General features: G+C 35.9%; 1 protein-coding gene across 4 annotated transcripts in view; it reads right to left on the bottom strand.

The window, feature by feature from the left end:
- RASAL2 (RAS protein activator like 2) overlaps nucleotides 1-20,871 on the bottom strand; it is a 384,747-nt gene that overhangs the window by 362,437 nt on the left and 1,439 nt on the right. The gene's annotated exons all lie outside the window — the stretch shown is intronic.

The raw sequence follows: 20,871 nt of genomic DNA, 5'->3' as shown, positions 1-20,871 counted from the left end.
TTTACTGAACTAGGTATACTCTTTCATAGACTACCCACCTCCATAAGGCTATAGCATGTGTTCACTGAAGAAACCATTACTTTTAGTTGTGAACTATTAAAATGAGTAACGCTCCCTTTCAATGAGCAGTTTCTACTACAATAAAGAAAATAAAACATATATACCAATAAGAATACGACAAGTTAGATAATAAAAAAGCTCCATAAAAGAAATGTAAACAAAGTTTAATAGAAATTCAGAAAAGGGAAAGGTTATTTCTAGTCAGGAGGGAAAAGCAAGCAAAGAGATATCAAGAAAGACTCCAAGGAAGAAGTTCTATTTGTGCTGGGTACTAACGGATGAATAGGATTTTAAAACATCCCTAAATAAAATACATATTCCCCTGGAAGAAAAATGCTTCCAGTTTAGGGAAAAAACTCTCAGTAAATAGTACCAACATCCCTCTAGTTTTCATTCACCATTAAACCAAAATTTACCCTTCACACATCTCTCTATCTCTCCCAATATCTGCCTGCCCCCATATCCATTCCTCACCAAGTCTTATTAATATTAACCTTCAAAATATTTTTCAAAATCTGTCCACTTCTCTTTTCTCTACCATCTCCCTAGCCCAAATTATCACCATGTTTTACCCAGTCTACAAAGCAGCCTTCTGGCTGATCTCTCTGCTCCACAGGAATCTATTTTCTACACCACAACCAGAGTGGTCTTTTTGAAAATAAAGATACCAGGCATCACCTTCCAGACTCAAATCTTTGGCATAGCTATTTCTCTAGCCTTATACTATGCCATGTACCCTCTCACTATCTGTGCTCCAGCCTTTATTCAGAGTTCCTCAAAGCTGCCATGCTGGCTAACACCAGAACCTTTGCATGTGTTATCCCCTTCATCTGGAACACTCACCCACTACTAACTCCCACTACCTAGTTAACTCCTATTCACCCTTTTGGTCTTAGTACAAATGTCACTTCCTCCAGAAGGTCTTTCCTACTCTCCCACACTAAATTAGATCTCCCACACAAATAAATAAAATTGATGAACCAGACTGGGGACAAAACAGGGAAGACATAAACTAATATGAGGAATGAAAGAGGTAACATCATTAAGGATTCTAAGATAAGGAAATATTATGAACAATTTTATGTTAATACATTTGACAATTTAGACAAAATGGACATATTCCTTCAAAGACACAAACAATAAAAGCACACTCAAGAAGAAACAAATAATCTAAATAGCCCTATATCTATTAAGGAAATTGGATTTGAAGTGAATTACCCTCCAACAAAGAAAAGTCCGGGTGTAGATGGCTTATCTGATAAACTGTACCAAATATATAAGGAAGAAATAGTACTAATTCTACACAAACTCTTCCAGAAAGTGGAAAAAAAATTTATAATGTATACTACGAAGTCAGCATATTCTGAAACCAAAGACATAAGAAAACTAAAAACCAATATTCCTCATGAATATAGGTACAAAAATCTTAACATAATTTTAGCAAATCAAATCAACACAGAAAAAGAATAATAATACATCAAGACCAAATAAGGTTTATGCCAGGATTGTAAATTGGTTTAAAACTCAAAAATGGCTGGGCGCAGTGGCTCACGCCTGTAATCCCAGCCCTTTGGGAGGCCAAGGCGGGCGGATCACGAGGTCAGGAGATCGAGACCATCCTGGCTAACATGGTGAAACACCGTCTCTACTAAAAGATAGAAAAAATTAGCCGGGCGTGGTGGTGGGCGCCTGTAGTCCCAGCTACTAGGGAGGCTGAGGCAGGAGAATGGCATGAACCCAGGAGGCGGAGCTTGCAGTGAGCAGATATCCCGCCATTGCACTCCAGCCTGGGCAAAAGAGCGAGACTCCATCTCAAAGAAAAAAAAAAAAACCTCAAAAATCAAGGTTATTCACAATATTAATGAACAAAAAAGAAAAACCATACGGTCTTCTCCATAGATACAGGAAATGCATTTGACAAAAATCCAACATCCACTTCTAATTTAAAATTTAAAAAAGCTCTCAGAAACTAAAAATAGGAGGGAACATCTTTAAACTAATAAAGGAGATCTGTATTTTTTAACAAACAACAAAAAAACCTAAGGCTAACATCATACTTAAATGGCAAAAGACTGACTGCTTTTTACCTACGATCAGGTTGATGGCAAGGATGTCTACTCTCACCACTTCATTAAACATTATACTGGAAGTTCTAGCCAATGTAATCAAGCAAGAAATAAAAGGTATCCTGATTACAAAAAGAAGTAATCTATCTTTATTTGCAGACAATATGATCCTCCATTTAGAAAAGCCAATGGAATCCACAAAAAACAAAACAAAACAAAAAAAAACACTAGAAATAATAAATGAGTTTAGCAAGGTTGCAGGGTACAAGATAAAAAATGTAAAAAATTATTGTATGCCTATATACTAGCAACAAATAATTGGAAATTTAAAAATTTAAACCATACATTTATAATATTATCAAAAATTATGAAATACTTAAAGGTAAATCCAACAAAAGATGTATCAGATCTATATACTGAAATCTTTGTAGTAAAAAATCAAAGACAAACCACATGAAGAAATGTATTGTGCTCCCAGATTGAAAGACTTAATATTGTTAAGATAGTAACTCTCCCCAAAATTGATCTATAGATTTAACACAATCCCAATCAAAATCTTGCAGGCTTTTTTTCTGTAAAAGTGACAAAGTGATTCTAAAATTTCCGCCCAGGTGTGGTGGCTCACAGCTATAATCCCAGCACGTTTGGAGGCGAAGGTTGGGGGATTGCTTGAGGCCAGGAGTTTCAGACCAGCCTGGGCAATACAGCAAGACTCTGCCTCTACACACACACACACACACACACACACACACACACACACACACACACACACACACTCGCAGGCATGCATGCCCACACACATACACATACACAAAATCAGCCTGGTATGGTGATGCATGCCTGCAGTCCTAGCTACTAAGGAATCTGAGGTGGGAAGATTGCTTGAGCCCAGGAGTTCAAAGCTACAGTAATGATCACACAACTGAGCTCCAGCCTGGGTGACAGAACAAGACCTATGGGCATGCAAATGATCTAGAGTAGTCAAAGTAACTTTGAAAAAAAAAAAGTCAGGGTTGTATATCTCACCTCAATTTATCATTAATCTATAGTAATCAAAACAGTATGCTTGTAAATCAAGATAGACAACAGACCGATGGAATTGAATAGTCCAGATATAAACCCACACATATATTACATTTTCAACAAAGATACAAAGGCACCTGAGTGCTCAAAGGATAGTTTTTTCAACAAATGGTGCTATTTGATATCCATTTAAAAAAAGAAGAATTTCAATTCTTATTCTTTACCACACACAAAAATACAATCAAAATGGATGATAGGACAAAAACTATAAAACTTTCAATGAAAAAAATAGAAGAAAATCTTTGTGAAATTGGGCTAGACCATGATTTCTTTTTTTTCTTTTTTTTCTTTTACTATTATACTTTAAGTTTTAGGGTACATGTGCACATTGTGCAGGTTAGTTACATATGTATACATGTGCCATGCTGGTGTGCTGCACCCACTAACTCGTCATCTAGCATTAGGTATATCTCCCAAAGCTATCCCTCCCCCCTCCTCCCTCCCCCCACCCCACAACAGTCCCCAGAGTGTGATGTTCCCCTTCCTGTGTCCATGTGATCTCATTGTTCAATTCCCACCTATGAGTGAGAATATGCAGTGTTTGGTTTTTTGTTCTTGCGATAGTTTACTGAGAATGATGATTTCCAATTTCATCCACGTCCCTACAAAGGACATGAACTCATCATTTTTCATGATTTCTTTTTTCCTTTTTTTTGAGATGGAGTCTCGCTCTGTCACCCAGGCGGGAGTGCAGTGTCGCGATCCTGGCTCACTGCAACCTCCACCTCCCGGGTTCAAGCAATTCTCCTGCCTCAGCCTCCTGAGTAGTTGAGATTACAGGCACACACCACCACGCCCAGCTAACTTTTGTATTTTTAGTAGAGACGGGGTTTCACCATATTAGTCAGGCTGGTCTCGAACTCCTGACCTCGTGATCCACCCGCCTTGGCCTCCCAAAGTGCTAGGATTACAGGCATGAGCCACCGTGCCCAGCTGACAATGATTTCTTAAATAAAATAGCAAAAGTACAATCCACGAAAGCAAAAGAAAATAGGGATAAATCAACCTCATCAAAATTAAGAATTTTAATTCTTTGAAAGGTTTAAGAGAATAAGACCAGCCACAGAATGAGGAAAAAATAATTACAGATCACATATCTGACAAAGGACATATCCAAAATATATGAGGACTTCATACAATAAATAAGAAAAAATCAATTTTAAAATTGACAAAAGAGGCCAGGAGCGGTAGCTCACATCTGTAATTCCAGCACTTTGGGAGGTGGAGGCAGGCAGATCACCTGAGGTCAGGAGTTCAAGACCAGCCTGGCCAACATGGTGAAACTCTGTCTCTACAAAAATACAAAAATTAGCCAGGCATGATGGCAGGTGCCTGTAATCCCAGCTACTCGGGAGGCTGAGGTGGGAGAATCGCTTGAACCCGGGAGGCGGAGGTTGCAGTGAGCTGAAATCATGCCATCGCACTACAACCTGGGTGACAAAGCAAGACTCCATCTTAAAACAAAATAAAATAAAATAGACAAAAGATTGAACATTTTACTAAAGATACATGAATATCCAATAAGCATATGAAAAGCTGCTCAACATTATTAGTCATTGAATAAATTGAAACCACAATGGCTATCACTGCACACCTCTTGAAATGGCTAAAATTAAGTATTGATGAGGATGTGGAAATGGAACTTACATACACTGCTGGTAGGAAAACATGGAAATGGAACCTACGTACACTGCTGGTAGGAAAATGTGATAATGGAACCTGCCACACACTGCTAGTGGGAAAACGGTACAACCACTTAGGAAAACAATTCAGCAGTTTCTTAAAATATTAAACAAGGTCAGGCATGGTGGCTCATGCACGTAATCCTAGCACTTTGGGAGGCCAAGGCAGGAGGATCACTTGAGCCCAGGAGTTTGAGATAAGCCTGGGCAACATGGCAAAACCCTGTCTCTACAAAAAAATACAAATTAGCCAGGTGTGGTGGTGTGCGCAAAGACTAGTACACAAATGTTCACAACAACTTTATCTGTCATAGTCAAAAACTAAAAACAACTCAAATGTTCATCAAAAGGCGAGCTGGCAAACAATTGTAGAATATCGATGGGATACTATCAGCAATACAAAGGAATTAACTATTGATACATGCAACAACATGGATGAATCTCAAAATATGCTGAAAGAAGCCAAACAAAAAATTAGTATATATCATACAATTCCACTTACAGTTGACCTTCCATAAATTCCACATCCATGGATTGAACCAACTGCAAATCAAAAATATTCCGTAAAAAGAAAAAAACACAACTATAAAAAATGTAGAATACAAATTTTAAAAAACAATACAGTATGGCCGGGTGCAGTGGCTCAATCCTGTAATCCCAGCAAATCCCAAATTTGGGAGGCTGAGGCAGACGGATTGCCTGAGCTCAGGAGTTCGAGATCAGCCTGGGAAACATGGTGAAACCCCATCTCTACTAAAAATACAAAAAATTAGCCAGGCATAGTAGTGTGTGCCTTAATCCCAGCTACTCAGGAGGCTGAGGCATGAGAATACCTTGAACCTGGAAGGTGGAGTTTGCAGTATACATACATATATATATATATATGTATACACTATATATAGTGTATATAGTGTATATATACAGTATATATAGCATATATATACTACATATGCTATATATACTATATATACACTGTATATATAGTATATATAGCATATATATACACTATATATGCTATATATACTATATATACACTGTATAAATATAGTATAAAAACTATTCACATAGAATTTACATTGTATTAGCTATTTTATGTAATCTAGGAATGGTTTAAAGTATATGGAAGGATAAGCCTAAACTATATGCAAATAGAATGCCATTTTATATATGGAACTTCAGCATCTGAGGATTTTGGTATCTGTTGGGACCCTGGAACCAATCCCCTGGTAAATAATGAGGGATTAATGTCCATAAAATTCTTGAAAATCCAAACTAATCTATACAGATAGAAAGCAGATTAGTAGCTGTCTAGTGTTAGGCTGGGGAAAGGGGGGAATTACAAAGGGATGCAAAGAAACTTTTTAGACAAAGTAAGTGTTCATTTTCTTGCTTGTGGTAATGGTTTCATGGTTACTTATTTCAAATACATCAAATTACACTTTAAAGATGTGTAGTTTGTTGTTGCAATTTTCTTATTGAATCCGGTTTTTCGTTTGTTTGCTTTAGAGATGGTGTCTCACTCTGTAGCTCAGGCTGAAGTGTAGTAGCAGGATCACAGTTCACTGTAGACTTGAACTCCTGGGTTTAAGCAATCCTCCTGCTTCAGCCTCCCAAGTAGCTAGGACTACAAGTGCGGGCCACAACACCTGGCTAATTTATTTTTTGTAGAGGCAGGTTTTCACTATGTTGCCCAGGCTGGTCTCCAACTCCTGGCCTCAAGAGATTCTCCCACCTTAGCCTCCCAAAACACCAGGATTATAGACGTCAGCCAACCATGCCTCGCCTAAATCTGGTTTCTAAAAAGATATATGAATTGGTCAGAATGAAATACTGTAATTCACTTCCCATTGCTAAACTGGCCAAAACAGAATCACAGATTTTTAAGAACTGCAACCTATTTGTAAGAAATGGAGTTAAATTTCAAAACTGATTCACAGTTTTGTGTGTATGAATCATACTTTAAGTTTCTGAGTCCTTGAAATACAAACCCTGGGATATAAATTATGAATTATAAAGCATATGTACCATAAGTATAGTCAGGCTCAAGAGGAACTTAGAGAAAGAGAACTAGGCTCACTAGGAGCCCACAGTGTTCCTGAGCTTTTAGAAAAGAACATGTGAAGGTGAGTAGAGAAGCATGCACCTATAATCCCAGCTCCCTGGGAGACTGAGGCAAGAGAATTCCTTGACTTCAGGAGTTTAAGACCAGCCTGGGCAAAACAGTAAGACCCTCATCTAGGAAAAAAAAACAAAACAAAAAACTGTGAATTCTATCAATGTCCTAAAATATCTCCTGTAGGGCTAAGCTCTGAGCAATGTTTTAACTGACCTGCTTCTGTGAAAGTGAATTCTCTTTCCTAGAATTACTAATATTAAAGTAGAGAGCCACCTGAATAAATCCTGGAGTAAATAAAGCTATGTCCCAGATGAATACAACTTGTGGTTCTTAAGATTGTGTGATTTCTTAACTATCAGTAGTCTCACTGGCTTGATCAAACATAAGTAATAGGCATAGAAAGACATGCTTTTATAGAAAAAAAGTCCATATTTTATATTACTGCTAAAAATACATGAATTTTAGAGAGCTAACAGACTTTAACCTTTTTTAAATACAAAACTATTCAAATGGCTCACCCACATAGAGCTTCCTCATGTTATCTACGGTTAATAAAACTTATACAACTCGATGAAAATATTCTGTAAATTATGACATCCAAAGCGTATCAAGCATAACAATGTCATTATTTTATAGTCATGGTGCTAATATAAAACTCACAGGTAAACTACAGGATTGGGATACAAATTAACAAACATCATACTGAATACTTTTTATAATAACTATTTGCATTCTTTATTTGTGAGAAGTCAAATTATATAGTGATTAAGAGCACAGATTTGAGAGGAACTGTCTAGATTCAAATCCCGCATCAGCCACTTGCTTTCTGTATAATGTTGGACAAGTTCCTCTACATCTTTATGCCTCTAATTCCTCATCTATAAAATGAGAAAAACAATAGTATTTACCTGATAGTGTAGTTATAAAGATTAAATAAGTTAACAGGCATAAAGCACTTAGAACTGTGCCAGGTTCACAGCAAACACTCAACAAGTTTTCTCATTATCATCATTATCATCATGCTCATGACTGTCACAGTTACCAGAGTTAAGATTAATATGTAGAATAATTAACACCATCAGTGACAATCTAAAAAATACCAATACATCTACTGAGAATTCATGCAAAAAAGAGGACTTGAATAGACATGTCTCCAAAGAAGATATACAAATGGCCAATAAGCAATAAAAATATGCTCAATATCATTAATCATTATGTAAATACAAATAAAAACCACAATGGGATATCACTTCACACCTACTAGGATGGTTAAACCAAAAATGAATAATAAATGTTGGTAAGGAAGTGGAGTAACTGGAACCCTCGTGCATTGCTGGTAAGGATGTAAAAGGGTACATACAGCTGCTGTACCAAAACAGTCTGGCAGTTTCTCAAAAGGCTAAACATAGAACAACCATACACCCAGCATTTCCACCCCTAGGTATATAAGAATGGAAAGCAGAGACTCAAACAGATATTTGTATACCAAAGCTCATAGCAGCATTATTCAAAACAGACAAAATGTGGAAACAACCCAAATGTCCATCAACAAATGAATGGATAAAAAATATAGTTTATACATACAATGGAATATTTATTTAGCCATAAAAAATGAAATTTTTATACATGTTACAAGAATGGACCTTGAAGCCATTATGCTTAGTGAATAAGTCAGACACAGGAGGACAAATGTATGATTTCACCTATATGAGGTACCTAGAATAGGCAAATTCAGGGAGACAGAAAGAATAGAGGTTACCAGCTGCTAAGAGGAGGGGAAAGGGAGAGTCATTGTTTAATGGGAAGTTTGAAGATGATGAAAACATTTGGGGTATAGGTAGTGGTGATGGTTACACAACATTATGAATGTATTTAATATCATTAAATTGTATACTTATTAAATATAGCAAACTTAAAATGAAAATTTGCTATATTTACCATAATAAAAAAAACACAAAATAATTTATTGGTTACTCTATCTAGCATCCTCACTTTTATTCCTGCAGTTCACCAAAGAACTCAATATCTGTTACTATCCACATGGGTCTCAAAGAGGCAGAGAAGATAGGATAAGACATACTGTTAAATTCTAAGACAACTTAGAAAAGCACAAAAATGCTTGTAATACATTTTAACACAAATATGTTAAAACAGTAAATGTGAACTTCAATAATAGAGGGTAATATTTCAAAAGAAACTACTGGATTGGGAGTCAAATAGTAATCATCTCACATCACCAAGAATCGTTAGGAGTCACTAACTTTTTCACAATTATTTCCCTGATAAAATGGAGAAATGACTTATCATGTTTAATAAGTTTGTTGACAGAAAAAAATGCAAGGTTTTTCAAGATTGTAGGGAAAAAGCAACTCTGTAAAAACATATAATTTCATACAATATGCTCACAGGTAAACAGAATAATATTACTGGATATATATGAGGAAATTTATTATGCTAGTTAAGCTACAGGAAAAGAAAGATGATCAGCTAATAGATATTACAAAGTCAAGCCTCTCTCAAGGTGACACTCTGGCATGACAATCTCAGTATAGACCAAAACTACAACCTAAAATGCAAATAACTGAAAATGTTCTCTTAAGCTTATTTTGGTTGAACTTGCAAAAGAATGACTGAAGACTTTCTGACCTGAACAAAACAGGAAGAAATCGACTGTATCTGGGGTATCTTTCTATTTCAATAGAAATCACCATATGATACCATTTTTTCTTAATCATGTTATCAAGCTAGATTCAAAAACAGGAATATAAATTTTATTTTCTATAAAAAGGAAAACCATGAAGTCTTTATAAAACTAGACAACATTAAAAGCAAAGTCATTGTTTTAGACATTACAACATATCTTTCGTTACTTGGTAGCTACTGTACTGACCATCTTATTCAAGGTCCATACGTTGATACAGAGTAATCAGCAACCACTTGGACAAAAAGCAGCCATTTCAAAATAGGAACATGCAACAGAAAGGCCTTGGGTTTCCTCACTCAAGGGCAGTCTTGAAATTTACAAATACACATAAAGTTGTACACAGTCAAGCCTAAGGGAACCATGGAGGGAAATCTAGGAATTGTGGATATGCTATACTTCAGCACAAACTGGAACATGCAAATATAGATTATAGCCAGGCAAAGAGATTTTTTATGCTGTCAGTCACTACCCTGGAGATAGTGTACATGCTATCCTTTTTGGAAAATTATTACATAAAATATGACATTAAAAAAATTTCATTACAAGAACAGAAAAACAAAACAAGAATAATCTTCACCTTGTCAGTGTATCCCTCAGAGCAACAGAGTTATAGATTAACTCCTAACAATAATGTTGTCATCTACAGCGATTTCATGTTTCCATGAACTAAATTAGTAAAATGCTTTAAAACTACAATTGATTTTTACTGAGTTCAAAAAGAAAACGTGGCTGGGTACAGCAGCTCATGCCTATAATCACAGCACTTTGGAAGGCTGGGGCAAGAGGATTGCTTGAGCTTAGAAGTTCAAAACCAGCCTGGGCAACACAGTGAGACCTCGTCTCTACAAAAAGTAAACAAAAAACTAGCTGGGCGCAGTGGTGCACACCTGAAGTAGCACCTACTTGGTGGGAGGATCCCTTGAGCCTGGGAGGTCCAGGCTACAGTGAGCCAAGATAGAGCCACAGCACTCCAGCCTGAGTGACAGAACAAGACTCCGTCTCAAAAAAAAAAAAAAGAACCCCAAAAAACAAAAAGAGAATGTGTCTAGTAATTTCATACACTTCAAAAACTGACAAAAATACTGCCATACTTTCCCACTGTATCATATCCTTCATATGTCTTCATTATTTAGTACTTATTTATGGAGCAAGATATTTGCATATTCTATCCTGCCCGAATTAAACAAATTTTCCTACAAACCTCCAGAGTATTAACTGGATAAGGGATTATTTTTTCATTTCACTTTCAAACTACTTTAAGTCATTGTTAAAAGTTAAAAACAGTTTGTTCTTTTTCTAAGTTTGCTCCTTTCTGGCCTAGCAAGACAAGCTTATGCTTATGTATTACATGCTAAACAGCTAAATGGTAAAAGAAAATTTGGTTAACTTTGTTAACGGTCTATATAAAATATGATTTTTTCCATAGTCTTATTCCTATTCCTGCCATTATTTTTTCTGAAGAAAAGATTTTAAATTACTTTAATCATTAATATTAGTTCTTGTTGCCATTACTTGGATTTGGCTTTGTTTAACATTATGAAAAACTTTCCTCAGAACATACCTAAATTAATCCCATGCTATAAAACTGGGTCATTAACACAGTATTATATAAGACATACAACTCAATCACTCATCCAGGTAAAACTAAATGAAACTATATTCAAATCATGTTCAAAATAACTTTCATGAATGTCAACTCCTTCTAGCTGAGATAAAAGTTACCAACTGTGTGCTTCTTAGAATACCTAAAACATATGTCTGCATCAAGTTATTTCAGTTGGAGGGTCTGACATAATACAAGTAAGGTCACGGTCATGGATTTGACCTTTAGCAGACCAATTGCTTTGAGTCTATACTCCCGCCCTTCCCTCATTCACTTGGAAATATGCCATTAATAAAAAGGAGTACCATTTAAACAACAACTAAGTTTTTGAAGGACAGTCTTAAAGGCATAAAGACTCAAGGCATTTAATATGTGCTAAGTAACGTTTAAGGTATTATATAAAATTTATGTAAAAAGATTTTAATACATTGAAAGTAGCAACACAGCAGTAGAACTTAAAATTATGAGCCATATTTCACATACTAGAGGCAGGAATTACTTTCCAGGAAGGTTTCACCAATTTCGCACTAAATCTCAGGCCTTTAAAAACATTTCATACTCTTCTAGGAATTCAGCATAAGAAAACATTCAGAAGTTTGGATCAAAGATTTGTGCACAAAGACAAATCAGTAAAGTGTTAAACTTTTTGAAAAATGTTAACATCTAAAATAGAATAATGGTTAAATAATGTTAGTCATTAAAAATTGTATTTTCATATTATAAAGTCTCAACAATAAAGCTGTGTGATACTGGCACATGAATATAAACAGACCAATAGAACAGAATAGAAAATCTTGAAATAACCCAAAATATAAATGGCAATCTTGTATAGAATAAAGAAGTCTTCTTAAATCAGTGCGAAAAAGCTGGTTTCTTCAACAAATGATGGTAGGACAACTGGAAAGCCATCTTTCAAAAAATGAAATTGGATCCATATCTCATATTTAATACCAGACTGGATTAAAGATTTGAATGTAAAAAATAAAACCAACGAAGTACTAGATAAACCAAGAGAGAATTATTTCATAACCTCAGAACAGGAAAGCCCACTCTTTTTTTTGTCCCCCAAGGGTATTTAGGTACTTAGTGTATGTAGAGGGGGAAAAAAAAAGAATGGGCTTTCCTATTCTGAGGTTACAAAATAAAGGTCCAGAGAACTCCCAGGAAAGCCCATTCTAACATAAAATACATTCTGACATAAAACCAAAAAGCCATAAAAGAAAAATCCGATACATTCAATTGTGTAAGAATCATTTCTTCATAAGGGTGGGGGGAATACCATAAGAAAAATGAAAATACTGGCAACTGTTGCAGATAAAGGGTTCTTTACTTAAATACTAAGAGTTCCTTAGTATGCTTTGCTTAATATACTAATAGTTCCTACAAATCACTAAGAAAAAGATCCAAGAACCCAATAAAAATGGGCAAAAGGTATGTACAGTTCACAGAAAAGGTTATATTTAAATGACTCTTAAAAATGAAAAGATGTTCAATCACACTTAATGTAAAAGATATTAAAAAAAATTAAATTAAGACACCATTTTTACCTTTCAGATTGTCTGATCCAAAATTTCGTGATAATTCATTATGTGTGGGGAGACAGGCACTCTCATATATTGCGGGCGAAGTACAGACAGGTAGGGCAATTTGGCAATATCTTTCAAAATTACAAATACACGTACCTTTGACCTAGCAATTCTATGTATTTTTCTTACAGATATGCTCATACACAAGCAAAATGGCTTATACTCAAGATCATTCACTGCAAAATCACTTGAACTAGCAAAACTTGGGGAATAATTAAATGAGTTATGATTAATTCAGGCATTATGCAGCCATAAAAAGAATGAGGTACCTCTTTACAAAATGAAAGGAAAATATATCTGAGATACATTAATAAGTGAGGGGCGGGGGGAAGAAAGAAGAAGCAATCTCAAAGTGCAGATAAAAATCAGTTCTAATGGGTTATCATACGTGTAAAAATAGAGAAAAATGCATATATACAGTAAAAACCTATGATATCATTTCAGATATAAAGCAATTTACCGGCTCCAGACCCCCAGAACTCATGGCCAACTTCATTTGCAGGTTTGTTCTGGTCATTTCACTAACCTCACAGAAATATAACCCTGAATTTTTTGTAAACTAGATTTCTTGGATCCCACTTATGGCAGGATTTTTACATATCTATCTATCTCTACATTTGCTTCTATGCACGTGGAATAGGTATGGAAAGATACATAACAATTTCAAGTATTTATTGATTGGGAAGAGGGACCATGCCTGCCAGATGGCAAGTTGTAGAGGCAGGGAGGAAGAGTAAGAGAGAGCTCATGGAATATCTTTTTATACTCTGAATTTTGGAACAAAGGAATATATTACCTATTTTTTAAAATAAATAACATATTTAAAAAAATGTGTTAATGTTTTCAATAACATGAGAAAATACACTTAAGAGAAAAAAAGTAGAATGTAAAATATATGCAGTTTGATACCAAATATGTATTAATACAAAAAAATCTGTACACAAAAAAGACTGGAATAAAACACAATAAAATATTAAAAGAATAATTATCTCAGCCAGGTGTGGTAGCACACTCCTGTAGTCCCAGTTATTCGGGAGGCTGAGGTGGAAGGATCCCCTGAACCCAGGCAATGGATAATATGTAAGCTATGATTGCGCCACTGCACTCCAACCTGGGCATGAGCTATGATTGCGCCACTGCACTCCAACCTTGGCAACAGAATGAGACCCCGTCTCTAAAATATAATATTTAAAAAAAAATGATAGTTATCTCTAAGAGGTAGAATTACAAATGATTTTAATTTTGGCTTTTCCTAAAATTCTAATTCTTTATGTTAAGCACAAATTATATTCATAATCAGAAAAAGGGTATTAATTTTTAATGACAGGAATCAGAGGTTAGAAATTCAAGTGGAAGGTACAAAGTTATTAGGTATTATTCAGGGTTCTAAGCATCATATATGAAATTCAAATTTCCTTCAGACATCACTTCCAATCACAGCACCAAAAAAAGTATGCATAATAAGCTTAGGAAAAATATGAAAAAAAAAATCTCATCTGTCCTCTGGTCTATCTCTTAAGGATTACTATGAAATTATTTTCATCCTCCTACTTTATGGATGTTTTGTCCATTTTTGTTTTCTGTTACCTAGGTAATGGTATTTCCAGCATTTCCCTTAAAAGACTGTGAAACTAACAATCTGGTATTTCTCACTGTCGAGTTTTCCTGACCTTCAGCTTTGAGAGGCCATCTCCCTAAGGGAAGGCAGCAAGATCTAGAAGCTAAATCAGGAGGCTAAGGAATCTGAGGTTAAGAGTTCCAATCCTGACAAACTGTGGAGTCTGTCTCCAATTTTGGGAATAAGCTAAACTTCCTGAGCCAGTTTCTTCAATGAGAAAACCTAAAGGATTGCTTTGAAAAATATCAAAAACTATTGACTTTAAGGTTTCATTTTAACTTTTCAGACTACTCTTCCGAATTTTGTTATCTTATCTATGTTGAATGTTTTCCCCTCACTAAATTTTCACTCTCTCAATCAATATCTATAAGTATTACCAATCCCTTAGACTCAGGGATGGAGGTAAGGGGTACTTTTAGAAAGTCTGCTACAAGTGACACAATGTGAATGGAACTCGAGCAATGTTGAAGATAATTTATGGAGGGGTAAAAATACAATCAGGATCTAAACTGAACCCTTATGAGCAAAGCCAACAAAGACAATTAATTGATGTTACTAACACCTGGTAAGGGAAGGTAAAATTCAGACAGCTCATATCTGAACCCAGCTGTAGAGATTAGGAAAGTGATAACTTCTGTATCATAGTCTAGCAAATGAAATGTTTTTATGCCTTTAAGGGTTCAATTTTTATTTCTTTTGTTTACTGTATACTCACTAACACCACTGCACTGGGCCTCAAGACTTCTCTTTTCCCTTCTACTTGTGAACCACATTACTTCTTGATGGGCTGCCCTCTCACTATAAAATAAACTACATGAAATTTGCAAAAGGGTTTTCTACATGCTAGCCTTAAGAAGTACTTGACAGCCTTTGGGAAGAAAGGTGTTTTTACAAACATCAGACAGCAATTATCCCTCTACCAAGATAGGGTGAAGCAATTTTAGCAGTGCCCTTAGCACACTTCAAACTCCTCCTCCTGGTTAACAAGACCAAACAACTCTCTAGTTAGTTAAAAGTTTTTCCAATAGGGAGGGACAAGGGAGCAAACAGCTGAAGTTTTTCTGAATTAACTGTCATTAGTTGAATGCTTTTTTGTGGTTCACCTACTTAAAAGGTGATCAAATCACTTTGTGCTACTGAAGAAAGCAACTGCAAAGAACAATTACATAAACCCTCTATTTCAACTTACCTCATCCTTCCTTCTAATGAAACAAAGGATCCGAAACCACTACCTTGCCACCATTTCCTTAATAATCTTGGTAAAGCCTACTATGTCATGTGAATCTCTTTTCTTTTTCTTAGCAAACCACAGAAATTTCACTCACTATAGTAGGAAACACAACTGTACAACTTTTTTTTTTTTTTTTTATTTGAGACTGAGTCTCGCTCTGTTGCCCAGGCTGGAGTGCAGTGGCACGATCTCAGCTAGCTGCAACCTCTCCCTCCTGGGCTCAAGCGATTCTCGTGCCTCAGCATCCCGAGTAGCTGGGATTACAGATGTGCCACCATGCCCTGCTAATTTTTTTTTTTTTTTGTATTTATAGTAGAGACAAGGTTTCACCATGTTGGCCAGGCTGGTCTCAAACTCCTTACCTCAGGTGATCCGCCCACCTTGGCCTCCTAAAGTGCTGGAATTATGGGCATAAGCCACCGCGCCCGGCCCATTTTTAAAAATGTGTTCAGTAAATGTTATTATCTGAAAAAGATAAAGGATATCCACACAAACTATTCTTAAAGAGGGGTGTTCTAGAACTTTGTATTATTTATGTCTGAAGATTTGTACAGATCCTCAATTCCATATCTGCAATTCCTAAATCAAAAAAGCTCTGAAAAGCAAAAGACTGTATGCAACTTTTCTGGCAGTAAAGTCTGACCTGCACTGACATAAGGCTATTTATAGTCTTTATACCACTTGGTATGATTTTGTTTTTTTTTTGAGATAGTCTCACTCTGTCACCCAGGCTGCAGTGCAACGGTGGAATCACAGCTCACTGCAATCTCCCCCTCCCTGGTTCAAGCGATTCTCCTGCCTCAGCCTCCCAAGTAGCTGGGATTACAGGTGCATGCCACCACACCCGGCTAATTTCTTTGTACTTTAGTAGAAACGGGGTTTCACCATGTTGGCCAGGCTGGTCTTGAACTCCTGACCTCAAGTGATCCACCTGCCTCGGCCTCCCAAAGTGCTGGGATTACAGGCGTGAGCCACCACGCCCGGCCTATTCACTTGTTTAACTGCAGAAATATTAACATAACTGTCTAGTCCAAATGGTTTTGGAAAAGAGATTGTGGATGTATAATTCTATTCCTTAAAAATATTTTCACTGTTTGAAAATCAAATAGCAGTGAACCAACATGATAGAGGGTAGAACAATACTAAGATGTTATAAATGAAACTATCACCTACATTAATAGAGCACACAATTTAAATAAGACATACAAATTTTCTCTCAAAAGAAGAAAAAAGGGGGCTATTTAAAGTCACTTAAACAGTACATGCCTAGGCATTCTTAGAAGTTCTCTCTGATTTCAATGAAAAACTGTCTATTCTTAATGTGTTTTAATGTATTTGGAAATCATTGGAAACTAATACATCAACAAGCCTATGCCACATCCTAAGTATTGAACTCAAGCTTAAGATTCCAAAAATTTCTAAAATATGACTACTCAGGTGTAAAGATTCAATTAACAGTACCTGAGGAAATTAAGACATTTAAGGAACATGAACATGTTTGGGGATGTATTTTATACACACTCACTGATTTTCTTCTAGCCATACTAGTTGCAACATTTTAAATAAATTTAGAGACATAACCTCTAGAAACGTAACTTTTAAAAATCTCATCCTGTGTCTTAATTGGTGAGGCGTAAGCAGTATCATATAATACAACCAGATATGACTTCTGTCTCATCAGCTCATATTCACTTCTTGAATATGAACTTCTATTAATTCTTACCGAATTCCCACTGCCACATTTCTGGAATTATAAGGTACTTAATGAAGTATGATTAATTCCCTTTTTCTTCTGTTTGCTTAAATAGTACTAGCCCTTTGAAATTTTCCAGCAGGTCCCTATGTTGTTATCAATAAACAATGAGCTGTATACAAGCTTAATGGTAATAATGTTGATGCTATTCATTTTCTTAACAGAATATTTTACCTAATTCCTTCTGATAATATTAAAATTTAAAAGTACAAGATTTCTTGTTGATCCCTTTCTTGTGCTGATTATATTTCCCTTCTAACTCTCCAAGAGCATATCTGAGCACATACTTGCAGACCTGTCATACTGATGAGTGCAGAGCTCCACCGCAGGCAATCCTAGAGATTGGGATCTTAAATTTCTCCCAGAGTGTCCTACACTCCCCATCCATTCATGGTAAAGTATTTAATTTTAATGTTCTCATTGTTTACCAGAAAGCACAGACAGTGAGGCTGGCTTTGCCACTCCCGTTTCCTTTCGCTATGCTGCTGAGCTTTTTCAGCCAATTGACTTTGCTTTGAGGCTATAAATATCTGAAAAATGTTCTGCATTTGATGCTCTTGGATTCTGTATCCATATTTAGCTGTTTGTGGCATGCCTTTGTTTAAGCTACTCTACCACCCATACAGTCAGTCAGGTTGAGATCTGGATGGTCAAAGGACAAACGGATCAACATACAACAGACACTGACTTACTATGAGCAAGGTACCAATCTGGCAGACAAGTTGACAATGAAGGGGGTGGCAAGATAAGAATACAAAGATAAACAAGGCTCCCTGATATCAAAAATTTTATAGTCTTGACAAGGCATGGGCACAACTTATAATACTGGAATAAAACAAATGAAACATTTTACAACTACAAGGAAATGAAGATTAGGACAGACAGCACAAATATTTTTCTCTCAGCCACATCTCAAAAATGTGCATTAGTTTGTGTTCTAAATATAGAGCCACCTATTATAAAGCTCTGAACATATTCCAGAAAAGTTTTCCAAATCATGGCAATACACAAAACCCTGAGTATACGTATTATGACAATATATACATATGTACACAATATATATGTATTATCAACCAAGGAGCCAAACCTGTCAACAAGAAACTCAAAACAGTGCCTAGTCTTCAAATTTTGTGAGGCAAACTAATAAAATATTGTTTCTAGAAGTTCCTGTTAAGATATTCTTTGGGGGGTTACTTCTGTTGTTGTTTGTTCCCATCATGATTTCAAACAGAAGTATATTGCAGGAGATGCAAATTGCACTTAATAAAGTTCCTTATTATTATCCTACCTTTAGAACCCACATGGCTATGTAGGTTAGGTCTCAAAACTGGATGAACTAGACCTAAGCAACATCGCCATACTCATCTTCCTATCTTGTGAAAACATTCCAAATAAATAAACATCTGCCTTCAATATATCTTCTTTGAAAACTCAGTTCACTGACCTTTTGATAAAACTGCTCCCCAGAATTCCCTGACAATCATGATTTAAATGCATTAAGTTAAGGGCTTGGTTAATGCCTGGCCCCAAGAGCCAGGATAAAGATTATAGGCCAACCTGCAGGTAAAATAATGGGCCAAGCCACAGAATCAGACAACTTTAAAGCTAAAAGGGACCACAGATACCAATTACTCCAGATTCCACTTTTATGCTGAAACCTAGAGGCCATGAGTTAAAACTACCTGCCCAGAATTAGACAACCAACTTGTGGCAAAGCCAGAATGAAACCAATACTCTAAGCTTCTAGTTGTATCCTCTAGACTAGGTTCCCAATTTGTAGATTTCCCTGAAACATGTTAGACTACACTCATCAAAGTCTCTTTAAATTGTGAGAAGAACCTAGGTGATCCAAGACAACGAAGGTTTTGAACACACAGACAAGAAACAAGAAAAACAAAAATTCTGTATTCTCCAAATTGTTTTTCTACATTCTATTACTTTTATTTCAAAGTTTTTACTTCAAAGTTTTCAAACATACACCCTGTTCATACAATAGGCAACTTAAAACTAGCTAAGGACATAGCCAAGAGTCATTCCAATAGTTCTGAAATATTTACATAAACTAAAGACAACAAAATAGTATCCAGGATGAGCTGCCTCAGAGGAAGGAAAGTAGCAATACTAAACAATAAATAAAAACAACTTCTGGTTAATTGATAGAGAAAACAAAAAAAGTTACAATGCAGTGGTAAGTCTGCAATTGGTCACAAAAATGCAAGGCATGGTATGTATATGTGTGTGTCACACACATATACATACCATGCATTTCTGTGATGTCTGATATGAAGTCTTGACATCAATTGAACCACGCAGAAAGAAAACTTCTAAGTCGTGGTCACTCTTGAACAATAAACATATATCCTGTTCAGAAGGACGAAAGAAAAAAAACATAATGTAAACTTGCTCTCACTCTCTCTCTCTCTTACACACACACACACACACACACAAAATATACAATATATATTTCACAAATCAACCCCTAGGAATGGACTACAAAACAACATACATTTGTAGACTTTTATGTCCTTACAAATGAAGAACGATAGTTAACACTAGGTCCAGAGAACCCAGATTGTTTTGGATACTGAAATACCGAATTATCATATACATGTATTCTTAGAATAGCATGGCCCTATTTCTAACATCACACAAATAAACAGTATGCCAAAGAAGTGTGTAAGGAGAGAAAGATGATAGAATGGGAAAACGTTGTAACTACAATATACTCTAATTCATATGCACTTTCAGATTCTCACCAACCTTTGTTCTAAATGACCAGCTAAGTGGGATTTAGCAGGCAGACGGAAAATCAGGCACCAAAGTTTTTAATCTAATTTGCTGAGAACAAACTGGGTGACCTTGCATCGTCTCCCACTCCTTTGCTTTAAATCTTCCGGTACGTAGAGTAACATCAAGAAACAGCCAGCAAAATACAAAGTGGTACACAAATCCTTAAGAACTGGTTATAAGAAGAATTCCTGGATTTTTATGATTAAAAGGGTCACTAGTGATGATTTAATCCAATCCACTCACTTTACAGATGAGGAATCACAAGCCAAAAATGTGACTCGATCTGCCCCAAATCCCATAGCCATTTAGTGGTAGAACTGAGACAAGAACTGAGATCTCTGGACTCCTAGTTCTATGATCTTTGCGATGGACATTAAGTCTTCAAATCAACTGAACTACACAGAAAAAAACCTAAGTCTTGGTCACTCTTGAATAGTAAGCATATACCCTGTTCAGAAAGATGAAAGAAAAAAACATAAGGTACTTGATCACTACAGGCTTAGATGCACAAGACTGCAGGATAACATCTTAACATTGTGTTTGATCCCAGGTGCTTCAAATTTGCCATCTTATACTCAG

The sequence above is a fragment of the Homo sapiens genome, chromosome 1 (genome assembly GCF_000001405.40).
Source record: "Homo sapiens chromosome 1, GRCh38.p14 Primary Assembly".
In the NCBI taxonomy this organism is placed as follows: domain Eukaryota; kingdom Metazoa; phylum Chordata; class Mammalia; order Primates; family Hominidae; genus Homo; species Homo sapiens.
The sequence above is the reverse complement of the archived record's forward strand: the minus strand, read 5'-3'. Positions and strand labels throughout refer to the sequence as shown.